Below are 24,516 nucleotides of genomic sequence, written 5' to 3'. Positions count from 1 at the left end.
GTATTTTTTGTAGAGACAGGGTTTCACCATGTTGGCCAGGATGGTCTCGATCTCTTGACCTCGTGATCCACCTGCCTCAGCCTCCCAAAGTGCTGGGATTACAGGTGTGAACCACCATGCTCAGCCTCTCTTACACTTTAGGAGGTCAGAAGTCTGGGTTTCACCAGACTAAAATCAAGGTGTCTGCAGGCTGCATTTCTTTCCAGAGGCTCTAAAGGAGATCCACTTCCTACTCGTTCGGGTTGGCAGAAGGTAGGACCAAGGTCCCCATGTTCTTGCTGGCTGTAAAGGAGGGCTGTTCCCAGCTTCTAGAGGCCCCTGCAGTCCTTGGCTCATGGCCCGCTTCCTCTGTCCTTAAAGCCAGCAACGGTAGGCTAAGTGCTTCTCACTTCAGGACTTATGACGACATTGCGCCCGCCTGGATCTCCAAGGATAGCCTTTCATTTCAAGGTCATGACCTTATTCACATCTACAAAGCCCCCATGCCATGTAAGATAACATATTCACTGGTTCCAGGGAGTAGACCATGGGCATTTTCGGGGGGCCATTATTCTGTCTGCCACAATATCTTCATTTTACAAAACTGAGATTCAGAGACCAGATGACTTGCCCAAGGTCGTACAGTTCAGTGGCCATGCCAGGCCTCAAGCCCAAGCCTCCCCACTCCCAGACCACTGTTCCTGACATTACAGCACCTGCCGGGACTTTAGCCTCTCCAGTCAGCATGCACACCAGGCACAGAAACCCACACATGTGGACACAGAAAATGTTTGGGGTATAAGGATCCTTGCTTTCTCTATAGAGAATTGCTCCAGGGCCCTGAATTGGTTGGGGACAAGGGTAGGCCAGTGGAAGACCGGATTTCAGACCTAATGGCCACACAGGGGACCAAGGAGTTTGGGGTTCAAACGTGATAGGTCACTCAAACTCTACACTGTCCTGCCCACCCCTACATACATCACCCCACCCATCCCCACAAATGCAGGACATGGCAGGTTGTGGGAGGAAGAGGGGCTGGAGGAACTGCTGGGCTTGCTGAGGGCTTCTTCAGACCAGGGTCCTGAAGGACTTGCCTGGAGCCATTGGTGTTGCACAGGTTGGGGCAGTGGCTCAATCAATCAAACTTTGGGCTGGAGCAGTCCTCCTCGGAGGGGGACCAGCACCCATCATTCAATTCCAGGGGCACAAAAATGGAGGACACCCAATCAAACCCTTAGCAGGGCAGTGGAGTTACCATAGAAACTCAAGACAGGCTGGGTGCGGTGGCTCACGCCTGTGATCCCAGCACTTTGGGAGGCTGAGGCGGGTAGATCACGAGGTCAGGGGATTGAGACCATCCTGGCTAACACAGTGAAACCCCATCTCTACTAAAAACACAAAAAATTAGCCAGGCGTGGTGGCGGGTGCCTGTAGTCCCAGTTACTCAGGAGGCGGAGGCAGGAGAATGGCATGAACCCGGGAGGCAGAGCTTGCAGTGAGCCGAGATGGCGCCACTGCACTCCAGCCTGGGTGACAAAGCAAGACTCCATCTCAAAAAAAAAAAAAAGAAAAAGAGAAAGAAAAGAAACTCAAGACAACAGGCTGGGTGCAGTGGCTCACGCCTGTGATCCCAGCACTTTAGGAGGTCCATGTAGGAGGATCACCTGAGGTTAGGAGCTGGAGACCAGCCTGGCCAACATGGTGAAACCCCATCTCTACTAAAAATACAAAAATTAGGCAGGTGTGGTGGCCTGCGCCTATAGTCCCAGCTACTTGGGAGGCTGAGGCAGCAGAATTGCTTGAACCTGGGAGGCGGAGGCTGCAGTGAGCCAAGATCGTGCCACTGCACTCCAGCCTGGACAACAGAGCAAGACTCTGTCTTCAAAAAAAAAAAAAAGAAAGAAAGAAAAGAAGGCTGGGCACAGTGGCTCATGCCTATCCTAACACTTTGGGAGGCCAAGGCGGGTGGATCACCTGAGATCGGGAGTTTGAGACCAGCCTGACCAACATAGAGAAACCCCATCTCTACTAAAAATACAAAATTAGCTGGGTGTGGTGGTGCATGTCTGTAGTCCCAGCTACTCGGGAGGCTGAAGCAGGAGAATCGCTTGAACTCGGGAGGCAGAGGTTGCCAATGACCCAAGGTCGTGCCATTGCACTCCAGCCTGGGCAACAAGAGCAAAACTCCGTCTCAAAAAAAAAAAAAAAGAAAAACTCAAGATCACACTTTTTCCAGTGCCACGTCCTTGCTGTGTGCAGCCCCGTGGTTATGAGACCAGCACCTCATCTGTGCCCACAGCCAGAGGAAAGCAGCCCTGAGTCAACCAAGGGCCAGGACACTCAGGGCCCTCTACTCAAGAAGTGCAGGCTTGGTGGGAATGCCCCGGCCTCCCACACCGCAGTGGCTGGTCCCCAGGGCCAGGGAGCTGCCAGCCAGGCCAGGAGATGGGCCTGAGAGGACAGTCAGGGGGCGCTCAGGTCCCACCTCCACAGGGACTAATGTAAGCAGAAAAGCCTCCCAGAACCATGCACAGAACAAGGGGTGGTCCTGTTGTGTGGAAGATGGCCATGAGGACCCTCCATCCAGAAACAAGGGACCTGTTGTGATACCTGTATGTGGCAGGTGGATTCTCCTAGGTCAGTACCCCATCCTGGCTCCAGATCCAACATAGGCTCTCCCCTCCCTGGCCGATGCTCCCACCGGGCACACCTGCAGCATTCTGAACCCCACTAGGGGCAACAGGCCCAGGCAGCTTCTCCCCGGCCCTCCAACTAGGCCCTGACCCTTCAGCCTCATATACAAAGTCTGGCTTGTGTGGAAGGAAAGGAGCCACCTAGGAGGCAGAGGACAATTTCCTAACGCTCAGGGAAACAGCTATGGCAGGAGCTAAACCCAGTACGGTATCAGGCACTGGGCCCCACAGGCTTCCCTGGGCATCACGCAGAAAAGCCAAGCAAGACCAGGCTACGGCAGGAGAGTCAGGTCCACCCTCAGCTCTGTCAACATAAATCAGGAAACAACCTGCAGAACAGGAGCTAGGAAGACGTGTGTTCAGACACTCAGGGCCTGAGGCCAACCACAGCCCTCCCCTCTCACCTGACATCTTTGCCCACTGTTCCAGGCACAGGCGTCCTGGCAGCCTCAGCTCCACAGGGGAGACTGAACCTGTGTCTTTTCAGAAATCAACCAAGTCACCCCAGCAAAGAGGATGCAAAGGAGAGGTAAAGCCATGTCTTCCTCGAGGGTGGGACCCGGCAGGTCCGAGTATTCCTTCCAGATGCTGGCAATCAGGACTCCAGCTCAGCGTGCAGTGTTTGGGAACATTGCCCCTGCTGAGGTACTTCCTGCCCCTCACACACCAGGAGAAAGAATCACTGAGGAAGGACTCCTGGGGACAGAGGAATGGCAGATTCCCCAAGTCAAACAGAGGAGGAGAAAGGGAAGCTGGCAGATAGAATGAAGAAAGACAATTAGTCCATAACCATGTATGGAAAGTGTTAGAAGGAAAGGGGCCCTGGAGTTGACATTTAAAAAGCAAGCAGGGGCCGGCGGCGGTGGCTCACGCCTGTAATCCCAGCATTTTGGGAGGCCGAGGCGGGCAGATATTGAGGTTCAAGAGATCGAGACCATCCTGGCCAACATGATGAAACCCCATCTCTACTAAAAATACAAAAATTAGCTGGGCGTGGTAGCACACGCCTGTAGTCCTAGCTACTCGGGAGGCTGAGGCAGGAGAATCACTTGAACCCAGGAGGCGGAGGTTGCAGTGAGCCGAGATCACACCACTGCACTCCAGCCTGGCGACAGAGCGAGACTCTGTCTCAAAAAAAAAAAAAAAAGCAAGCAGCCAGGCGCAGTGGCTGACACCTGTAGTCCCAGCACTTTGAAAGGCTGAGGTAGGAGGATCACTTGAGCCCACGAGTTCAAGATCAGCCTGTCCAACATAGTAAGACCCCATCTCTACAAGAAAATGTTTTAAGAAACTAGCCAGGTATGGCTGGGCGCAGTGGCTCATGCCTGTAATCCCAGCACTTTGGGAGGCCGAGGTGGGCGGATCACGAGGTCAGAAGTTCGAGACCAGCCTGACCAACAGGGTGAAACCCCATCTCTACTTAAAAAAAAAAAAAAAAACCATTAGCCGGGCATGGTGGCGAGCGCCTGTAATCCCAGCTACTCAGGAGGCTGAGAATCACTTGAACCCGGGAGGCGGAGGTTGCAGTGAGTCGAGATTGTTCCACTACACTCCAGCCTGGGCAACAGAGTGAGACTCAGTCTCAAAAAAAAAAAAAAAAAGATGAAACTAGCCAGGCATGGTGGTAGCACATGCCTATAGTCCCAGCTACTGGGGTACAACCTGTGGTGGGAGGATCGCTTGAGCCTGGGAGGTCAAGGCTGCAGTCAAAGTCAAGGCTACAGAGCTGTGATTGCGCCACTGCAGTCTAGCCTCAAAAAAAAAAAAAAAAAAAGCGGGGGCACGGAGCGGTCTCTCACGCCTGTTAATCCCAGCATTTTGGGAGGACGAGGAGGGTGGATCACAAGGTCAAGAGTTTGAGACCTGGCCAACATGGTGAAATACCATCTCTACTAAGAATACAGAAATTAGCCAGGTGTGGTGGCATGTGCCTGTAATCCCAGCTACTCAGGAGGCTGAGGCAGGAGAATTGCTTGAACACCAGAGGCAGAGGTTGCAGTGAACCGAAATCACACCACTGCACTCCAGCCTGGGTGACAGAGCAAGACTCTGTCTTGAAAAAAAAATTAAAAAGGCAAGATTGCCAGGCGCAGTGGCTGTAATCTCAGCACTCTGGGAGGCCAAGGTGGGTGGATCACTTGAGGTCAGGAGGAGTTCGAGACCAGCCTGGCCAACATGGTGAAACCTCGTCTCTACTAAAAATACAAAAAAAAATTAGCCGGGCGTGGTAGTGGGTGCCTGTAATGCCTCAGGAGGCTGAAACAGCAGAATCCCTTGAACCTGAGAGGCGGAGGTTGCAGTGAGCCGAGATCGCATCACTGCACTCCAGCCTGGGCAACAGAGCAGGAGTCAGTCTCAAAAAAAAAAAAAAAAAAAAAAAAAAGCCAAGATTCTGCAAAGTCCCTACCCCCAATTAGGAAGGGCACCAGCACCTAAGAAATGAAGTCCACCAAAAAGGAAGACCAGAGAAGGCTGGCCCCTTAGAGGAAAGGCTTCTAGCTGAAGATCCAGCCCCAGTGGGACACACACACACACACACACACACACACACACACACACACACAGACACATACACGCCCATTGGGCTTTGCACAAACAAGGGAGCTGGAGGGGATGAGCCAGAAAAGCTGCACAATGACAACAGGCTTTGTCTTCCCAGGAAGCCAGGCACCATTTAAAGGTACAGAAGCACACGAGGAGTCCAGCTGAGGCACACAAAACCTACCACAGGGCAGCCAGCCGGGCGCTCTTCTCCACACCTCCACCCAGTGCCAGTGGAGGCATGAGCCCAGGCAGGAGGGAAGGCACAATGAATTTCTGAAGTAAAGTTTAAATAGATTTTATTGTTACAAGGGGGACCCCACCAAGCAGGGTCAGTGACCCCCAAGGAGGTCACCATGGAGACATCAAGAGGTCATGATTGCAGAAGAGGTGACTGGAATTGAATGACATGATCCAGGGGAGGCCGGCCACAAATGCAGTAACATGACCAGGATGGGCCGGTGGGGCTGGTCAGGTCACAGTGTGAGGGACAGAACGGACCCCTTCACTCTGGCCTCCTGTAGGTCTCCAGGTGTGACAGGATCCAGCCCGCTGGCAGGAGGAAGGTCACGAAGCAGGAGGTAAGCCCAACGGCCAATTCCTACACAGAGCACAAGAAAGAAGGCACCTCGGAGTCAGTATTCCCCTAGGCTCTCTAAGTCCTTGCAGTTCCCAGGCAGCAGAAAGCCCCGCTCAGGGAGCCAGGACTCAGAGGCAAGTGGGAGGCCCCGCATCCTCACGTTAAAGGAATCCACGCTCCACGGAGCAGACAGAGCAGGTCCAAAGCTACGCTAACCCTTGAGGTAAAGGGTCAGTTATAAGGAGGGGGAAGAGTGAGAGGAAGGAGAGACAGCTGGGGTTAGGGTTCAGGGAGAAATGCACCACCAGATGGTAAAGGAAGGGACAGGAAGCAGGATTTATTGAAACCTGTTTTAAAGCTGGTCTGGGCCGGGCATGGTGGCTCACACCTGTAATCCCAGCAATTTGGGAGGCCAAGGCGGGCGGATCACAAGGTCAGGAGTTAGAGACCAGCCTGACCAACATGGTGAAACCCCGTCTCTACTAAAAATACAAAAAATTAGCCGGGAGTGGTGGCGGGCGCCTGTGATCCCAGCTACTCGGGAGACTGAGGCAGGAGAATGGCTTGGCTTAAACCTGGGAGGCGGAGGTTGCAGTAAGCCGAGATCGCACCACTGCACTCCAGCCTGGGTGACAGAGCAAGACTCCGTCTCAAAAAAACAAACAACAAACAAAAAAAGCAAAGCCTGTATGTTAAGACCCAGGATCCTTGCATGGGCCAGTAACTCCAAAACGATACCTATCCTTCCTTGCCTGAAAACCCCCTCCCAGGCCGGGCGCAGTGGCTCACGCCTGTAATCCCAGCACTTTGGGAGGTTGAGGCAGGCGGATCACGAGGTCAAGAGATCGAGACCATCCTGGCCAACATGGTGAAACCCCGTCTCTACTAAAAATACAAAATTTAGTTGGGCATGGTGGCACGCGCCTGTAGTCCCAGCTATTCGGGAGGCTGAGGCAGGAGAATCGCTTGAACCCGGGAGTCGGAGGCTGCAGTGAGCCGAGATCGCGCCACTGCACTCCAGCCTGGCGACAGAGCGAGAACCCGTCTCAAAATAAATAAGTAAAATAAAATAAAATAAAATAAATAGCAGTAACAACCATTTTCGTCGCTGACAGCGTCAGGCATCCCCCAGTGAACCAACGAGAAAATGGGCTCAGAGCGGCTAAAGAAGTCGGCAGGAGGCGGCGCAGCGAGGAGGCGACAGGAGAGGGAGGGCCTGACAGGACCAGACCCGAGATCCTGGGGCTGTGGGGAAAGACCTAACGCCGACAGCCCCGACTGTCGCCCGGGCACTGTCCCCGTCGTTCGCGCCCTCCAGACATGCCCAAACCGGCACTGCTGCTCCCCGCTACGCTGCGGGGCGCGAGGCATTCTCAGGACCACCTGAGGTCAGCTAGGCAGAAGGGGTCAGCCCACGGCGCCTCCCGCGCTCTTCCAGGCCCGTTCCTCACCATGATCCCAAGCTTCCCCTCCGGCGGCAACGAATGGATCTTGGCGCGCGGCACTGGGAGCCGCCGGGCCGAGCCTGTCAAGCCCCGCAGCAGCAGCGGCGTCAGGACGGACATGATGGCACGGAGTACACCACAAAAAACGGTCAGCCGTAGCCCAAGGTCAGGAAGCCAAAATGGCTGCGCTGGCCGGAAGTTCTGGAGCTGGGGAAGCAGGGAAACTGCGGCGCGGAAGTCTCTCGGAAATGACGCAAGAACACACCTCCCACAGCCCTTGGCAGTTTTTGGCGCGTTCCTCGAAACAGCCAATTGACACCTTCCTACGCTATGGGCGGAGCACAAAAGGGCTCTTCTTCGAGTTATGTTCCGCCTCCAAGGCTTATACTTGTGAATGACATCTGGGGCCACCCAATCATGTACGCGAGAAGCCTAAACTGTTCTTGACTCCTCCCTTCATTCATACTGTTAAATCTCTCTCTATTCAGGCTGGGCGTGGTGGCTCACGCCCGTAATCTCAGAACTTTTGGGAGGCCGTCTGTACTAAAAAAAAAAAAGTACGGGCTGGGCGCGTTGGCTCACGCCTCTAATCCCAGCACTTTGGGAGGCCGGGGCGGGTAGATCATCTGAGGTCAGGAGTTTGACACCAGTCTTGCCAGCATGGTGAAACCCCATCTCTACGAAAAATACAAAAATTGGCCGGGCGCAGTGGCTCACGCATGTAATCCCAACACTTTGGGAGGCCGGGGCCGGTAGATCATCTGAGGTCAGGAGTTTGAGACCAGTCTTGCCAGCATGGTGAAACCCCATCTCTACGAAAAATACAAAAATTGGCCGGGCGCAGTGGCTCACGCTTGTAATCCCAACATTTTGGGAGGCCGAGGCGGGTGGATCACCTGAGGTCAACAGTTCGAGACCAGACTGGCCAACATGGTGAAACCCCGTCTCTACTAAAAATACAAAAATTAGCTGGGCATGGTGGTGGGCGCCTGTAATTCCAGCTACTCGGGAGGCTGAGTCAGGAGAATTGCTGAACCCAGGAGACGGAAGTTGCAGTGAGCCGAGATTGAGCCATTGCAGTCCAGACTGGGCCACAAGAGCGAAACTCCATCTCAAAAATAAAAAACAACAATAAAAAAAGTTCGAAAGCAGCCTGGCCAACATGGTGAGACTCCATCTCGACTAAGAATACAAAAAATAGCCAGGCATGGTGGTAGATGCCTGTAATCTCAGCTACTAGGGAGGCTGAGGCAGGAGAACTGCTTGAACCCGGTAGGCAGAGGTTGCAGTGAGCTGAGATCACGCCACTGCACTCCAGCCTGGGCGACACAGCAAGACTCCGTCTCAAAAAAAAAAAAAAAAAAAAATCTCTCTATTGAGAGTCCCCTCCTCTCCACCAGGCCTCCGTCGTTTTTGTTGAGAATTCCTGACACTGACCTAGTAACCAAACCTCCCTCAATTACTATTACACTCTTCAATTCCAGTTACCATGCTGGAGCAGCCAACTTCCCTTCCTTCCTACCCTATCACTCTCTCTCCCTCCCCCATCCCTTCCTTCTTGGTTTTTTAAACCTAAATCTGACCAAGTCATATACTTTCAGTGGCTCCCCATTGCTTCCTAGTCAAAATCCCAATTCCCGGATGTCACTGTCCAGCCTCAACTCTCAAAACTCTTCAATATTCCACACCTTCGACCCTGCTCTCTGATTTCCACCAACAAGCCTTTTGTTGCATTCAAAATGCACTCTGCATTTTGTTATTGATGTTGAGACAAGGTCTAGCTCTAAGCCCAGGCTGGAGTGGAGTGTGGTGTGATCTCGGCTCACTGCAGCCTTGCAACCTCCACCTCCCAGACTCAAGCCAACCTCCCACCTCAGCCTCCCAAGTAGCTGGGATTACAGGTGCCCACCACCATGCCTGGCTTTTTTTTTTTTTTTTTTTTTTTGAAATAGAGTCTTGCGCTGTTGCCCAGGCTGGAGTGCAGTGGCACTATCTTGGCTCTCTGCAACCTCCGCCTCCCGGGTTCAAGCAATTCTCCTGCCTCAGCCTCCTGAGTAGCTGGGATTACAGGCATCTGCCACCATGCCCGGCTATTTTTTGTATTTTTAGTAGAGACAAGGTTTCACCATGTTGGCCAGGCTGGTCTCGAACTCCTGACTTCAGGCGATCCACCCACCTTGGCCTCCCAAGGTGCTGGGATTACAGGCATGAGCCACAGCGCCCAGCCTAATTTTTGTAGTGTTTGTAGAGCTGGAGGGGGGTCTTGCTATGTTAGTCAGGCTAGTCTCAAACTCGTGAGCTGAAGCGATCCACCCAGATCAGCCTCCCAAAGTGCTGGGATTACAGGCATTTGTCAGGGCACCTGGCCTTGCCTCTGCACTTTGGGTTTTGTTTTTGAGACATGCATCACCCAGGCTGGAGTGCAGTGGTGCAATATCAGCTCACTGCAACCTCCACCTCCCTGGCTCAAGCGATTCTCCTGCCTCAGCCTCCCAAGCAGCTGGGATTACAGGTGTATGCCACCACACCCGGCTAATTTTTGCATTTTTAATAGCGACAGGGTTTCGCCATGTTGGCCAGGCTGGTCTTGAACTCCTGGCCTCATGTCATCTGCCCGCCTCAGCCTCCCAAAGTGCTGGGATTACAGGCATGAGCCACTGTGCCCGGCGTTGCTTCTGCATTTTATGTTCATTTTTTCAGCTCCTATGCAGGCTGCCTTTTTCACCATGCTAACTCCTGCTTCCTGGCTTCCAGTTAATGATACCACTTACTTTATTCAGTGAATATTTATTAGCCTCTACTGTGTGTTAGGAACTATTGTAGACACCAGTATGAACGAGGTGGATAGAGTTTCTTGTCACAAAGCTGACTTCTGGAGGGAAAAAACAGACAATAAACAGGCACTTAATTAGAAACTATTGTGTAAGTGTCACGGTGAAAATAAAACCATGATGTGCTAGGAAGATATGTGGGGTGGCACTACTCAGGATGCCTTCGCTGGTCACCCCAAGCCTGTGTCTCCTCTGTGCCCAGCAACACCTGTGTCAGCCCTGCCCCACATGGTGGGTCTCCATCAAGACTAGGGGCCACCTGAGGGCAGAGCCTGTGTTGGTTCACCACTGTTTCCAACCAGACACTCAGAATGTTTATAAACTGCAGGAGGCTGAACAGTATTGAACTAGGTAGAAGGCACATGAGAAAGGGGGTGTGGGACCAGCCCCTGGGCCAGGTCTTAATGGTACAATCTCATTCCAGGTTTACAATAATGTCATGAAATAGATGCTATTATTATTTCAATTATTTTATTTTGAGACAGTGTCTTGCTCTGTCGCCTAGGCTGGAGTGAAGTGTCACGACCACACCTCACTGCAGCCTCGACCTCCCAGGCTCAAGTGATCCTCTTGCTTCAGTTTCCCGAGTAGTTGGGGACTACAGGCACACACCACCATACCTGGCTTTTTATTTTTTGTAGAGGCAGGGTCCCACTATGTTGCCCAGGCTAGTCTTGAACTCCTGGGCTCAAGCAATCCTCCCACTGTGGCCTCTCAAAATGCTGGGATTACAGGCGGGAGCCACTGCGCCTGCCCTATTTCGAATTTTTTACAAATGAGGAAATAGGCCTGAAGAGTCAGGTGACTTGATCAAGATCATGAAGCTACAAGGCTGCCTTGCCAGGATTACAGGGCAGTTCTGTTGCCTCCAAAAGCCATGCTTTTAGCCACCACACATGCTGCTGCAGAGGTGGACTTCCCAGAAGTTCCAGTTTTGACATTGAGGTTAATAACATCAAAGGCTGTGGCAGGGGGTGGCGATGGGATGGCAAGAGATTGAGAAACAGGAGCTTTGGAAGAGAAACCTCAGCCCATGGTTTCTCTTCCATGGTGGTGGGGCGGGGGGGTGGTGTCACAGCAAGGTTGCAATGAACTCGCGGTGCCCTAGAAGGGGAGCTGTGTCTGAGCTTCCTCTGGAGGGATGTGTTCCCAGGCCCCAAGCTCATCCCTCTTCATCGCTCCCTCACCTTCCCCACCCCATTCTAGTTTTTTGTTTGTTTGCTTTTGGCTTACAACAACACAAATTCATTTTCTTACAGTTCTAAAGATCAGAAATATAAAATCAAGATGTCAGAAGGCCAGTATTTCTTGTCACGGCTCCAGGGCAGAATCCATTACCTTTTATTTTCTAATTTCTAGAAGCCACTTGTATCTCTTGGTTTGTAATCCCTTCAAAAATATGGAACGCTTCACGAATTTGCGTGTCATCCTTGCACAAGGGCCATGCTAATCTTCTCTGTATCGTTCCAATTTTAGTACATGTGCTGCCAAAGCGAGCACTTTTTTTTTTAGACAGAGTCTCGCTCTGTAGCCCAGGCTGGTGAGCCGTGGTACCATCTCAGCTCACTGCAAACTCTGCCTCCTGGGTTCAAGTGATTCTCCTGCCTCAGCCTCCCCAGTAGCTGGGATTACAGGCGCACGCCACCACGCCTGGATAATTTTTGTATTTTTAGTAGAGACAGGGTTTCGCCATGTTGGCCAGGCTGGTCTCAAAACTCCTGACCTCAAGTGATCCACCTGCCTCGGCCTCCCAAAGTGCTGTGATTACGGGCGTGAGCCACCGTGCCCGGCCCCATTCTTAGCAATCTCAGCCCAACCCCACCCACAACCACCAGGTCCCTGTTCTTGCCCTGCACTGAGCCCTAGCAAACAGCCCAGGACAGATGCTTCTAAACTCCCTTCCCGATCCCTAGGGGCACAGGGTTAAGAGGCCCAGGCCCCAGCTGGCTGCCACTGGGAGAAGGAAGGGGCAAGGACCTCCCTGCTGCCCTCCTGGGCTTGTCTGGCACTGGGAAACAAAGGAATAACTCCCCAATTAGAGCACAGTCAGGTGTAGGCAAGAGGAAAACGGCTTCCCTCCACACCTCTAGGTTCTTTGGCTGGACTATGAACTAAATTGACAAGACAGATCAACAGGTGAGAAACCATTTCTAATTAGATGCATACTATGATGGTTAATACTGAGTGTCAATTTGATTGGATTGAAGGATACGAAGTATTGATCCTGGGTGAGTCTGTGAGGGTGCTGCCAAAGGAGATTAACATTTGAGTCTGGGCTGGGAAAGGGAGACCCACCCTTAACCTGGGTGGGTGCCATCTAATCAGCTGCTAGTGGGGCTAGAAGATAAAGCAGGCAGAAAAATATGAAAAGACAAGACTGGCCTCACCTCCCAGCCTACAACTTTCTCCCATGCTAGATGCTTCCTGCCCTCAAACATCAAATTCCAAGTTCTTCAGTTGTGGGACTCGGACTGGCTCTCCTTGCTCCTCAGCTTGCAGGCAGCCTATTGTGGGACCTTGTGATCATGTAAGTCAATACTTAATAAACTCCCCTTTATATACATATATCCTATTAGTTCTGTCCCTCTAGAGAACCCTAATACACATACACAAGGGAGTACCAAAAAACATGTAGCTCGAAGGGTCAGATGACTGAAGCTTATATAGCATCCTGAGCTACAGAAAGAAACAGGGGATGGGAGTTCTCAGGGGTTATGAGGGTGAGGGGAGGATGTGTATGGTGAATAAAGGCCGTCTTGTTACACAGATGAAGTCTCCGGTGATCAAAGTTGTCTGGGCCAGGCTTGGCTTACGCCTGTAACCCCAGCACTTTGGGAGGCCGAGATGGGCAAATCACGAAGTCCAGAGATTGAGACCATCCTGGCCAACATGGTGAAACCCCGTCTCTACTAAAAATACAAAAAATTAGCTGGGTGTGGTGGCACGTGCCTATAGTCCCTACTCGGGAGGCCAAGGCAGGAGAATCACGTGAAACTGGGAGGTGGAGGTTGCAGTGAGCTGAGATCGCACCACTGCACTCCAGCCTGGCAACAGAGCATGACTCTGTCTCAAAAAAAAAAAGAAAAAAAAAAAAGGTTGTCTGGAGCAGCCCTCTTCCTGATATAAGATACTCTTACCAATGTAAGCGTAATATAATTTCCATTATGCATGTAAATTACAAAATAGCAACCTAAAAGGAAGAAGCTGAAACAAAATTAACATAAGCAGAGAGCTTATTTGGGCCAAGTTTGATGATTATAACCTGGGAGCATAGAATCCAGTTATCCTGAATATACACTCTGGTTAGCAGCAGTTGTAACTGGATTTTTTTTTTTTTAAGACGGACTCTGGCTCCGTCGCCCAGGCTGGAGTGCAGTGGCACCATCTCGACTCATTGCAACCTCCACCTCCTGGGTTTAAGCGATTCTCCTGCTTCAGCCTCCCGAGTAGTTTGGATTACAGGCCCCCTCCACCACGCCCGGCTAATTTTTGTATTTTTATTTTTTAATTTATTTTTGAGACAGAGTCTCACTCTGTCACCCAGGCTGGAGTGCAGTGGGGGCGATCTCAGCTCACTGCAAGCTCTGCCTCCCAGGTTCACGCCATTCTCCTGCCATAGCCTCCCGAGTAGCTGGGACTACAGGCGCCCCGCCCGGCTAATTTTTTTGTATTTTTTAATGGAGACGGAGTTTCACCGTGTTAGCCAGGATGGTCTCGATCTCCTGACCTCGTGATCCGCCCACCTCGGCCTCCCAAAGTGCTGGGATTACAGGGGTGAGCCACCGTGCCTGACCTATAAGTGGATTTTTAAAGGCAAAAAAGTAGGATAGGGAGCCAGGAGGATCGCTTGAAACCAGGAGTTCAAGACCAGACTAAGCAATAAAGTAAAACCCTTGTCTCTACAAAAAAATAATGGTGTGACATGTGAGTGTCTGTAGTCCCAGCTACTTGGGAGGCTGAGGTGGGAGGATTGCTTGAGCCTGGGAGATAGAGGCTGCTGTGAGCCATGATCATGCCACCGCAAGAGTGACAGAGTGAGACCCTGTCTCAAATAATAATAATAAAGTAACAACTTAAAAGGGGGGACAGGGAGTGAGCCAATACAATTGTCAGAGGTGTTTGAACCAGAGAGACTCCATCTCGAGTAGGGGCTGGGTAAAATAAAGCTGAGACCTGCCAGGCTGCACTCTCAATAGGTTAGGCTTTTTTTTTTTTTTTTTTTTTTTTGAGACAGAGTCTTGCTCTATAGCCCAGGCTGGAGAGCAGTGCCACGATCTTGGCTCATTGCAACCTCTGCCTCCCGGGTTCAAGCGATTCCCCTCCCTCAGCCTCCTGAGTAGCTGGGATTACAGGCACATGCCATCATGGCTGGCTAGTTTTTTTCGTATTTTTAATAGACACAAGGTTTCACCATGTTGGCCAGACTGGTCTCGAACTCCTGACCTCAGGCAATCCACCCACCTCGCCCTCCCGAAGTGCTGGGATTACAAGCGTGAGCCACTGTGCCCAGCCCAAATTTGTTTTATTATTATTATTTTTGAGACAGTCTCGCTCTTCACCCAGGCTGGAGTACAGTGGCGCCATCTCAGCTCACTGCAACCTCTGCCTCCCAGGTTCAAGCAATTCTCCTGCCTCAGTCTCCTGAGTAGCTGGGATGACAGGCATGCGCCACCACGCCCGGCTAATTTTTGTATTTTTAGTAGAGACGGGATTTCACCATGTTGGTCAGGCTGGTCTCAAACTCCTGGCCTCAAGCAATCCACCTGCCTTGGCCTCCAAAGTGCTGGTATTCCAGGCGTGAGCTACCACGCCCAGCCTAAATTGACTGATTATGGAGTCTCACTCTGTCACCCAGGCTGGAGTGCAGTGGCACAATCTTGGCTCACTGCAACCTCTGCCTCCCAGGTTCAAGCGATTCTCCTGCCTCAGCCTCCCGAGTAGCTGGGATTACAGGCGCATGGCATCACGCATGGCTAATTTTGGTATTTTTAGTAGAGATGGGGTTTCACCATGTTGATCAGGTTGGTCTCGAACTTCTGATCTCGTGATCTGCCTGCCTTGGCCTCCCAAAGTGCTGGGATTACAGGCATGAGGCACCGCGCCCAGCCTCCTTTCCATTCTTAAACAACTTGCTTTCGCTTTATGCTATGGACTCACCCCAAATTACTTCTTGCAGGAGGTCCAAGAACCCTCTCTTGGGGTCTGGATTGGGACTCCTTTCCTGTAACACAATGTTGTTTGTAAGGAATATTGGTTTATAGAAATGAGGCTGGTTAGTGTTACATTATAGGGTATGGGTTATAGTGTCTGGTGTGGCACTGTTAGGTTAATGTGTAGCTACTTGTGGCAATAGTAAGAAGTTTCAAGAGATGAACACATAGCTCAAAAGATTAATTACTGTCTCATGTTAATATCTCTCTGGGCCTAGTAATTAAAAAGATTTACATTCCTTAGGCTGGGAGTGGTGGCTCATGCCTGTAATCCCAGCACTTCAAGTCAGGAGTTCAAGACCAGCCTAGCCAACATGGTGAAACCCCATCTCCACTAAAAATACAAAAATTAGCCAGGTGTGGTGGCACACATCTGTAGTCCCAGCTACCCAGGAGGCTGAAGCAGGGGAATCGTTTGAACCTGGGAGGCAGAGGTTGCAGTGAGCTCAGATTGCTCCATTGCACTCCAGCCTGGGCAACAGAGCGAGACTCTGTCTCAGATACATAGATGATTGATAGATAGATAGATAGATAGATAGATAGATAGATAGATAGATAGATTAGATAGATAGAATGAATTGATTTACTTTCTTCAGATAAAAATGCTTTTTTCTCAAAAAGGACCAGGCACAGTGGCTCACACCTGTAATCATAGCACTTTGGGAGGCCAAGCTGGGCAGCTCACCTGAGGTCAGGAGTTTGAGACCAGCCTGGCCAACGTGGTGAAACCCCATCTCTACTAAAAATACAAAAATTAGCTGGGCATGGTGGCGAGCACCTATAATCCCAGCTACTCAGGAGGCTGAAGCAGGAGAATTGCTTGAACCTGGGAGGCGGAGGGTGCAGTAAGCTGAGATCAGGCCATTGCACTCTAGCCTGGACAATGAGCAAAAAACTGTCTCTCTCACACACAAAAAAATTAAGACATTAAAAAGGTTAGCTTTTCAGAGCTTCTCTTAGGTCTGCAGTTTCTCTGAGTAACCAGCTCAAAATATGCCAAAGTAGCATATTTCAGGGTGGGATATTCTGGTCTCCTACAGTCACATTTTGAAGTGGTGTGTCCTGAGCCCCAACACAGGCAAGGGGCCTGGGGATACTCTAGGAGGTGATGGGGACTTTCTGGCGCTGGGAAACTGAACTTTTTGTTTGTGCTGTGTTCCAGGGCTTTCCTCAGGCCTCTGTGATGCATTTCTCTCAGAACACCTATCACAGTGGAGGAAAGAGAGGCTGGCAGACAGGTTCCATAACGCAGCTGAGTCTGCTAGTGCCAGGCAGGGCTTGTACCTAGGTCTGTCTGTTGGATTAATACCAAGGTCTCTGCTCTTTCCCCATCCCTCCCAGCAACCAACCCTTCCCAGAATCCAGGCACAGTCCTTCAACAAAAGAGCAGTGAGACTGTATGGTGCATTTATACAATGAAATGTGACAGAATAGCGAAAATGAACAAACTCCAGCTGCAGCACGGATGGATCCCACAATGTTGAGGGGAGAGGCCAGGCATGAAAGAGCACAGGCTGCATGCTTCTATTTATACAAAGCCCAACAGCAAGCAGGTCTGAGCCACGAGGTGTGAGTCAGGTGGTGGGGACCCCAGGGGAAGAGGGAAGACAGGGGGCCAAAAAGAGGCATGATTGGCTTCTGGATGCTGGTCACCCTGTTCACTTAGTGATGAGTCCATTGTGAGTGGTGGGACTTTCACGGTTTGTGCACTTTTCTGTATGTATGTTACACTTCAATTAAAAACTTTAAAAATTTTTGACAAGACAGGCCAGATGCAGTGGCTCATACCTGTAATCCCAATGCTTTGGGAGGCCCAGGTGGGAGGATCATTTGAGATCAGGAGTTCGAGACCAGCCTGGGCAACATAGCGAGACTCCTGTCTTTACTAAAAACAAAAAATCAGCCGGGCATGGTGGTGCAAACCTGTAATCCTAGCTACTTGGGAGGCTGAGGCAGGAGCATCGCTTGAGCCCAGGAGGGTGAGGCTACAGTGAGCTATGATTGCGCCACTGCACTCCAGCCTGGATGACAGAGCGAGACCCTGTCTCAAAAAAATAAGGCCAGGCTGGGTGTGGTGGCTGATGCCTGTAATCCCAGCACTTTGGGAGGCCAAGGCAGGTGAATCACGAGGTCAAGAGTTCAAGACCAGCCTGGCCAAGATGGTGAAACCTGTCTCTACTAAAAATACAAAAAGTAGCCAGGCACAGTGGCAGGTGCCTGTAATCCCAGCTACTCAGGAGGCTGAGGCAGGAGAATTGCTTGAACCTGGGGGACAGAGGCTGCAGTGAGCCCAGATCATGCCACTGCACTCCAGCCTGGGTGACAGAGAGAGACTCTGTCTCAAAACAAATAAATTTTAAAAATAAGGCCAGGCGCAGTGGCTCATCCCTGTAATCCCAGCACTTCGGGAGGCCAAGGCGGGAAGATCACCTGAAGTCAGGAGTTTGAGACCAACCTGGCCAACATGGTGAAACCCCGTCTCTACTAGAAATAAAAAAATTAGCCAGGTGTGGTGGCATGTGCCTGTAGTCCCAGCTACCCAGGAGGCTGAGGCAGGAGAATCATTTGAACCCAGAAGGTGGAGGTTGCAGTGAGACTAGATCGCATCACTGCACTCCAGCCTGGGCGACACAGCAAGACCCTGTCTCAAAATAAATAAATAAATAAATAAATAAATAAATAAATAAATAAAATAACAATAAAAATAGACAAGAAAAAGCAGGGGAAAATAACATGCCATATGATCTTGTTTTGCTAAAATAGACAAATAGAGAAATAGATATGCATGTAAAAATCTAGAAGGACACATACAAATTGTGACCACTAGTGTTCTCTAGATAGTGGCGGGAAAGTAGGTCATTTTTGGTCTGTCTCTACTGTATTTCCAAGATTCCATATATGGCAATTCTCGTTTTCTTTTTTTGGAGATGGGGTCTCGCTCTGTCGCCCAGGCTGCAGTGCAGTAGCAAGATCTCAGCTCACTGCAACCTCTGCCCCCTGGGTTCAAGCAATTCTCCTGCCTCAGCCTCCTGAGCAGCTGGGAATATAGGCGCCTGCCACCATACCTGGCTAATTTTTTATTTTTAGTAGAGATGAGGTCTCGCTATGTTGCCCAGGCTGGTCTCGAACTCCTAATCTCAAATGATCCTCCCACCTGGGCAGAGTATATATTTTTGTATTACAAAAACATTTTTGTATATTACAATAATATACTTTTTTGTATATATTTTGTAATATATTACAAAACAATGTTTGTATCTTAGAAGAGACAGGGTTTTACCATGTTGCCCAGCCTGGTCTTGAACTCCTGAGCTCAGACATTCCACCCGCTTTGGCCTCTCAAAGTGCTGGGATTACAGGCAAGAGCCACCATGCCCAGCCTAGGGCAATTCTTACTGCTTAAAAGTAAGCAAGCCTGGGTGCAGTAGCTCACGTCTGTGATCTCAGCACTGTGGGAGGCCGAGGTGGGCAGATCACCTGAGGTCAGGAGTTCGAGACCAGCCTGGCCAACATAGTGAAACCCCATCTCTACTACAAATACAAAAACTAGCCGGGCATGGTAGCACACACCTGTAGTCCCAGTTACTCGGGAGACTGAGGCAGGAGAATCCCTTGAACCCAGGAGGCAGAGGTTGCAGTGAGCCGAGGTCGCAGTACTGCCCTCCAAGCTGGGTGACAGAGCAAGACTCCATCTCAAAATAATAAACGAGCAAGGAGAGGGGGGTTTGTTGGTCCAATGAGGGAGGTGTGCCCCATGTGGTGACAGGCTCTCTGTGACAGGAACCTTCCACAGGACAGGGACCCCCTCTATCACCCTGGACAGCTGCTGTGCTGCCTGCAAAGACGGGGAGCTCAGTTCCCCCGCCTGGGACTGCCCCCACGCTCCGATTGCTTGCTAGGGAGTCCCTCCCTACTAAGGGGTGAGACCTAAATCTCTTGAGCCCTTGGTCTCTCTGATCCCCGGGCTCAACCTGTTCCCTCCTGAGTGGGGCACTAGGAATAGATCCCAAGCCTTGGCGATGGGTAGGGGAGCTGGTCCAGGCTTCCTGTCACTGATTGTCATACCAGGTGCCCCACCCCAGAGGCGGCCCCCAGACCCACTGCTTACACATGGCCTGGACAAACACTGGGTCTCCCCACCCCAGGCCTGGCCCTCTCCCCATGAAAGGCTCTGGACCAGCAGCTGCTCTTGTCCAAATATGGAACTGCGAGGCCTGGGGAGGGAGCTGCACCCCAGTCCTGAGGGGCCAGCAGGTAAGAACCCTCAGCTGCCCCTCCTCTGCACACTTTCTAGAGCTTGCCACCTCCCAAAGCATCTGATCTGGAGCTGGTAAGAACCTGAGCTTTGGGTATCCAGTTTCCCTACCTGGCCTGGTCTCTCCTCCTGGCACATCAGGTGGGTGCCAGGCACTGAGCCCTGGGGCTGGCCAGGAGGGCTGCATGGTGAGGATGCAAAGAAGCCAGCCCTGTGCTTTCAGAGGGCAGCTGGGGCCTCTTCATCTGCCTGTGGGTGGGGAATGACTCTTGGGGTGACGGCAGCAGCAGGAGACTCTAGTGAAGCTGCAGGAAGGGCCCAGTGCCCAGAGGTGGAGGGTGAACAAGGGCCTCGGGGAAGGAGATACAGGCCTAACACTGGGGTGCTGGGTACCTCGAGAATGCACCTTTCCCTCCGTGGGCCTTAGCTTCCCCATCTGCAAAATGGGGGCGCTAATGCAAACTCCAGGAGAAGATGGAGGGAGAGACGGCATCACTGGAAGAGCTAGTTTGGGAAACCTAACCAGGCAACGGTCAAGGGAGGGGGCGGGACAGAGACAAGGATCTTAGAGGAGTGTTTGCTCTTCCTGGGATACAGCTGTTGCCAGGCATCCAGGGGACAGGCCCAGACACAGCTGTCGGGGGCGGGGTTGGGGGTGGAGGGGTTGCTCTCTAGGCAGGCACAGCTGTACTGGCTGGGGCACCCCAGGGTTCCAGCAGCGGGAGGGAAGGGTGCAAGCTGAGGGCTGGGCGGGCCTGCCGAGAGCCTGTGGTGGTTAACCCCTTCCGGAACGCAGTCCACAGCCAGCAGCCCTGTGTGGTAAGGGCGAGATCACCGCATTTGCACCCATGTGGGACGGTGGCTCCAGCTTGGTGAAGACTGGCTTCTCAGGCCACGTTTCCCTCCATCATGGGCTGGCCCCCAGACTCACCCCTACCAGGCTGGAACCACATCCAGGCCCCTCTGCCTTCTGAGCCCCTAGCCTGCGCTCATAGCTCCAATACCCATGGGCCTCTCTTGTTTCTGGACCCCTGATCAGCTTAGGGCAGGTCCCCACTCCTTTTCATGTTCCTGGACACCAATCTCACTGCCAGGACCCTCAGAGGGCTCTAGCCTGAGTGCCCCATCCCTGGACCCCTCCAGCCACATACCCCACCTTTCCCCATCCCATATATCCAACATTCAGGAGAGGGGCCGCCACAGGAGCGGTCCCCCCACAGCTCCCACATGTGACACCCGTGTGGCCCACCTGCCAGGCATCGAGCTAGGCACGGGGGCAGTTCCACATCATGACCAACTTCAAGGGCATGTGCTGCCCCACGCCATCCACAGTGCCTGCACTTGGCGGCTTGAGACCTCACTACGATCCTCAGTGGACGTGGCTGCCTAGTCCTTTGTCACCACTGAGGGGCTCAGGGCCAGGGAGCCGGACAGGAGCCACTAGTGTCCAGGCCACCCGTCAGCCTCACCTGCTGCAACAGAGCCATCCTGTATCAGAGCATGACCCCAGAGAGGTGCAGGGCCTGGCTTTCAACAGCCAAATCAGCCACAGCTGGCTCTCACCCTGCTCCCGATCTCCCAGCTGTGGCCTACCAAGCCCTGCTCTGAGTCAAACAGCCTCCACCCCTTAGGGGGCTCCCAGCCTGGTCCCATTTCTCAGGGCCTCCTCCCTCCAGCACTGGGGTGGCCTGCACTAAGCACCAGCGCCACATGATGTGACCTCAGCCCCAGCCCTGCCAGTCCGTAGGGACTATTAAATGTTCACCTTAATAGAATTAACACTCCACAGCAGGGCCAGGCTTGGGAGCTCACGCCTGTAATCCCAGCACTTTGGGAGGCCGAGGTGGGTGGATCACCTGAGCTCAGGAGTTTGAGACCAGCCTGGCTAACATGGTGAAACCTTCTCTCTACTAAAAATACAAAAATTAGCTGGGTGTGATGGCGTATGCCTGCAGTCTCAGCTACTCAGGAGGCTGAAGTGGGAGGATCACCTGAGCCCAGGAGGTTGAGGCTGCAGTGAGCTGATTGTGCCACTGCACTCCAGCCTGGTGACAGAGATCTTGTCTCAAAAAAACAAACAAACAAAGAAAACAACCCACAGCAGACTCCTAAAGCCCCAATACAGGTTCTAAGGTTCTCTTTGCTCACTTCAGCATAGTAGGAATCCAGGAACGTAGATGGAATCACAGAAACCGACATCCTGTCCAGGGCAGCACTGCATAATACCCTGGCATTGCAGGCCAGAAGCAGGAGACACCACCCTTGTCCCCAGCACCAGGAGTAGCAAGGTGGGGCAGGAGAGGCCTCTGGGGCCCATAGCTCCTGCTCAGGAAGAAGCTGGGCCTCTCACAGTCGCCGTGGGGCAAGGCAGCATAGGGAGGGAAGGGACCTAGTCAGGTACACAGCTGTGGGTGTCCTTGGCTTGCTCCTGTCTTTTCTTTCCCAAGCTGCAGGTTACCTAACTGTGAAACGGGGATAACACCTCCTACGCTGTGTTCAAATCTTGGCTCTGCCATTTACTACTGGGCCCATGAGCAAGTTACTTTTCACTCTCCATTTATCTTTTTGAGAGAGTCTTGCTTTGTCGCCCAGGCTGGAGTGCGGTGGGGCAATCTCGGCTCACTGCAGCCTCTGCTTTCCAAGTAGCTGCGATTACAAGCACACATCACCATACTAAGCTAATTTTTTTTTCTTTTTTTGAGATGGAGTCTCGCTTCTTCGCCCAGGCTGGAGTATCTGGCACAATCTTGGCTCACTGCAACCTCCGCCTCCCGGGTTCAAGCGATTCTCCACCACGTGCCACCACGCCTGGCTAATTTTTGTATTTTTAGTAGAGACGGGTTCACCATGTTGGCCAGGATGGTCTCGATCGCTTCACCTCGTGATCTGCCTGCCTCAGCCTCCCAAAGGGCTGGGATAACAGGTGTGAGCCACTGTGTCCAACCTAATTTTTTGAGACGGAGTCTCACTGTCACCAGGCTGGAGCACAATGGCGTGATCTCGGCTCACTGCAACCTCCGCCTCCCAGGTTCAAGCGATTCTCCTGTCTCAGCCTCCCAAGTAGCTGGGAACACAGGCATGCGCCACCAAGCCCAGCTAATTTTTATGTTTTTAGTAAAGACGGGATTTCACCCTGTTGGCCAGGATGGTCTCGATCTCCTGACCTCGTGATCCACCCGCCTCGGCCTCCCAAAGTGCTGGGATTACAGGAGTGAGCCACCGCGCCCAGCCTAATTTTTTTATTTTTAGTAGAGACAGGGCTTCACCATGTTGCCCAGGTTGGTCTCGAACTTCTGGCCTCAAGTGATCTGCCTGCCTAGGCCTCCCAAAGTGCTGAGATTACAGGCGTAAGACACAATGACTGCAATTTTTTTTTTTTTTTTTAAGAACAGGGTCTTGTTTGCTCTGTCACTCAGGCTGGAGTGCAGTGGCACAATCATAGCTCACTGCAGCCTCAGACTCCTAGGCTCAGGCAATCCTCCCGCCTCAGACTCTCAAGTAGCTGGGATTATAGGTGCCTGCCACCAGGCCCAACTAATCAAAAAATATATTTTTTTAGAGACAGGGTCTCACTATGTTGCCCAGCCTGGTCTCAAACTCCTGGCCTAAAGCAATCCTCCCACCTCAGCTTCCCAAAGTGCTGGGGCTCTAGGCGTGAGCCATGGCGCTGGCAATTTATCCTTAGATTGGGAGTAACACCACCACATTAGTTCACCAGGCTCCACAGCAACACATCCCCTCTCCCCAGACCCCGTCTGTCCTCAGGGGTATAGAACAACCTCTGCTGCACTTGGGGAGGGAGTATTCTAGCCAAAACTAGAAAAGCCTGCCCCCTAGTTTGAACTACCTTCAAAGCTGGCGGCAGAAACCATCTGGTGAGTGGCGTCCCTCCCGCTGGGGACATAGTCCCTTTCAGTCCAGCCCAGGCTCTGGACTGTCTACTGCTCAGCGGTGGTGCCTCTTGCTCCGCCTGCCCACTGAAGCTGTGGCAGCAGCATGGGGCAGACCCAGAAGTCACACCACACCTCACTGAAGCAGCCACTGTGGAGGGCCCAGGCCATTGTGAAGGTGGAGAAGGAGGAGGAATGGGTGCAGACCTCAACTCTCCCTGCACTCAGCCGGCAGGGATGAAGGAATGGCCCCAAGCTCTCCAACTGTGGCCATTCACCCTTCAGCAAGGGGATGGCCATTCCAGGAAGTTTCTGCCTGGGATGAAAACACAGCCTTCAAGGAACAAATAACTTGAGGGGCAGAATTCTGTCACATGGGAAACTGGCCATGTGATTCGCCAGGCAAATTGCTCTCCCTTCCCAAGGGCTGTGCTGCCTTTCTTTGGGCCTCAAAGATAAGACAGCTGCACAAACCACCTGCGGGTGTGCCCCTGCCCACAGGGGAGAGGCCACAACATGCCACAGCTGGGACCCACGGAACAGGTATAACCCTGGCTCCTCTTTCCCCAGATGCTTGCTCTGCCAGGGCACGAACACTCCATGTGGATCAGGGTCTCCTGCTCCCCGTTCCAGCAGATGCAGACCACCAAGCAGAGTACAATGGGGCAGCCCCTCCACTGTCCACAGAAAGTACTGAGCTCCAGCTCCCCCGGGCCAGGGCTGGCAGGAGCCCTGCTTGGGGAACAACCTGCACAGCTCCATCTGTCACACTAGGGGGTCACAGCCTCCACCAGCTCATAACTCTCCTGCCCCAGCAGCCCTGACATGAGCTCCCCTTCCTTGGAGCCTTGTCTTCTGTGAATGGATGGAAGAGGGCAGGAATCTTAAGAGACAAAGAATATTTTGAGTAACCCAATGAAGTCAAAGAGGAAAGAAGCACTCTCGTCTATTCACCTCCCACACATGGGCACTGGAATTTACGTTTGGACACAGATTTCAAATGTCACAAGGCCTGGCTTGGGACTTTCTCTCCAAGATGCAAAGCAGGCGCCCTTCAGAACACCTTTGGCCTCTACTCAGAACTCCTGGGAA

General features: G+C 52.2%; 1 protein-coding gene and 1 pseudogene across 1 annotated transcript, besides 4 other annotated features; both read right to left on the bottom strand.

The window, feature by feature from the left end:
• Positions 2,737–3,414: an enhancer, noted in NCBI's record as "OCT4-NANOG-H3K27ac-H3K4me1 hESC enhancer chr11:63746097-63746774 (GRCh37/hg19 assembly coordinates)". NCBI's record gives its function as "activates a minimal SCP1, AML or CMV promoter by ChIP-STARR-seq in naive H9 embryonic stem cells {active_cell/tissue: H9 hESC(naive)}" and the evidence as "EXISTENCE:reporter gene assay evidence [ECO:0000049][PMID:30033119]".
• Positions 4,091–4,768: an enhancer, noted in NCBI's record as "H3K27ac-H3K4me1 hESC enhancer chr11:63744743-63745420 (GRCh37/hg19 assembly coordinates)". NCBI's record gives its function as "activates a minimal SCP1, AML or CMV promoter by ChIP-STARR-seq in naive H9 embryonic stem cells {active_cell/tissue: H9 hESC(naive)}" and the evidence as "EXISTENCE:reporter gene assay evidence [ECO:0000049][PMID:30033119]".
• Positions 5,496–7,419, bottom strand: COX8A (cytochrome c oxidase subunit 8A). Its single transcript, NM_004074.3, has 2 exons — positions 7,245–7,419; positions 5,496–5,814 (listed from the first exon to the last, which is right to left on the bottom strand). The coding sequence occupies exons 1-2, from the start codon at positions 7,356–7,358 to the stop codon at positions 5,719–5,721; spliced, it is 210 nt and encodes a 69-aa protein (NP_004065.1). The 5' UTR covers positions 7,359–7,419; the 3' UTR covers positions 5,496–5,718.
• Positions 7,066–7,505: an enhancer, noted in NCBI's record as "active region_4880". NCBI's record gives its function as "activates an Ori minimal core promoter by ATAC-STARR-seq in GM12878 lymphoblastoid cells {active_cell/tissue: GM12878}" and the evidence as "EXISTENCE:reporter gene assay evidence [ECO:0000049][PMID:35858748]".
• On the bottom strand, positions 11,464–11,569 carry RNU6-45P (RNA, U6 small nuclear 45, pseudogene; annotated as a pseudogene).
• Positions 20,255–20,812: an enhancer, noted in NCBI's record as "H3K27ac-H3K4me1 hESC enhancer chr11:63728699-63729256 (GRCh37/hg19 assembly coordinates)". NCBI's record gives its function as "activates a minimal SCP1, AML or CMV promoter by ChIP-STARR-seq in primed H9 embryonic stem cells {active_cell/tissue: H9 hESC(primed)}" and the evidence as "EXISTENCE:reporter gene assay evidence [ECO:0000049][PMID:30033119]".

The sequence above is a fragment of the Homo sapiens genome, chromosome 11, assembly GCF_000001405.40.
Source record: "Homo sapiens chromosome 11, GRCh38.p14 Primary Assembly".
Taxonomy (NCBI): domain Eukaryota; kingdom Metazoa; phylum Chordata; class Mammalia; order Primates; family Hominidae; genus Homo; species Homo sapiens.
Note: the sequence above shows the minus strand (reverse complement) of the source record. Positions and strands in the feature narration are given on the sequence as shown.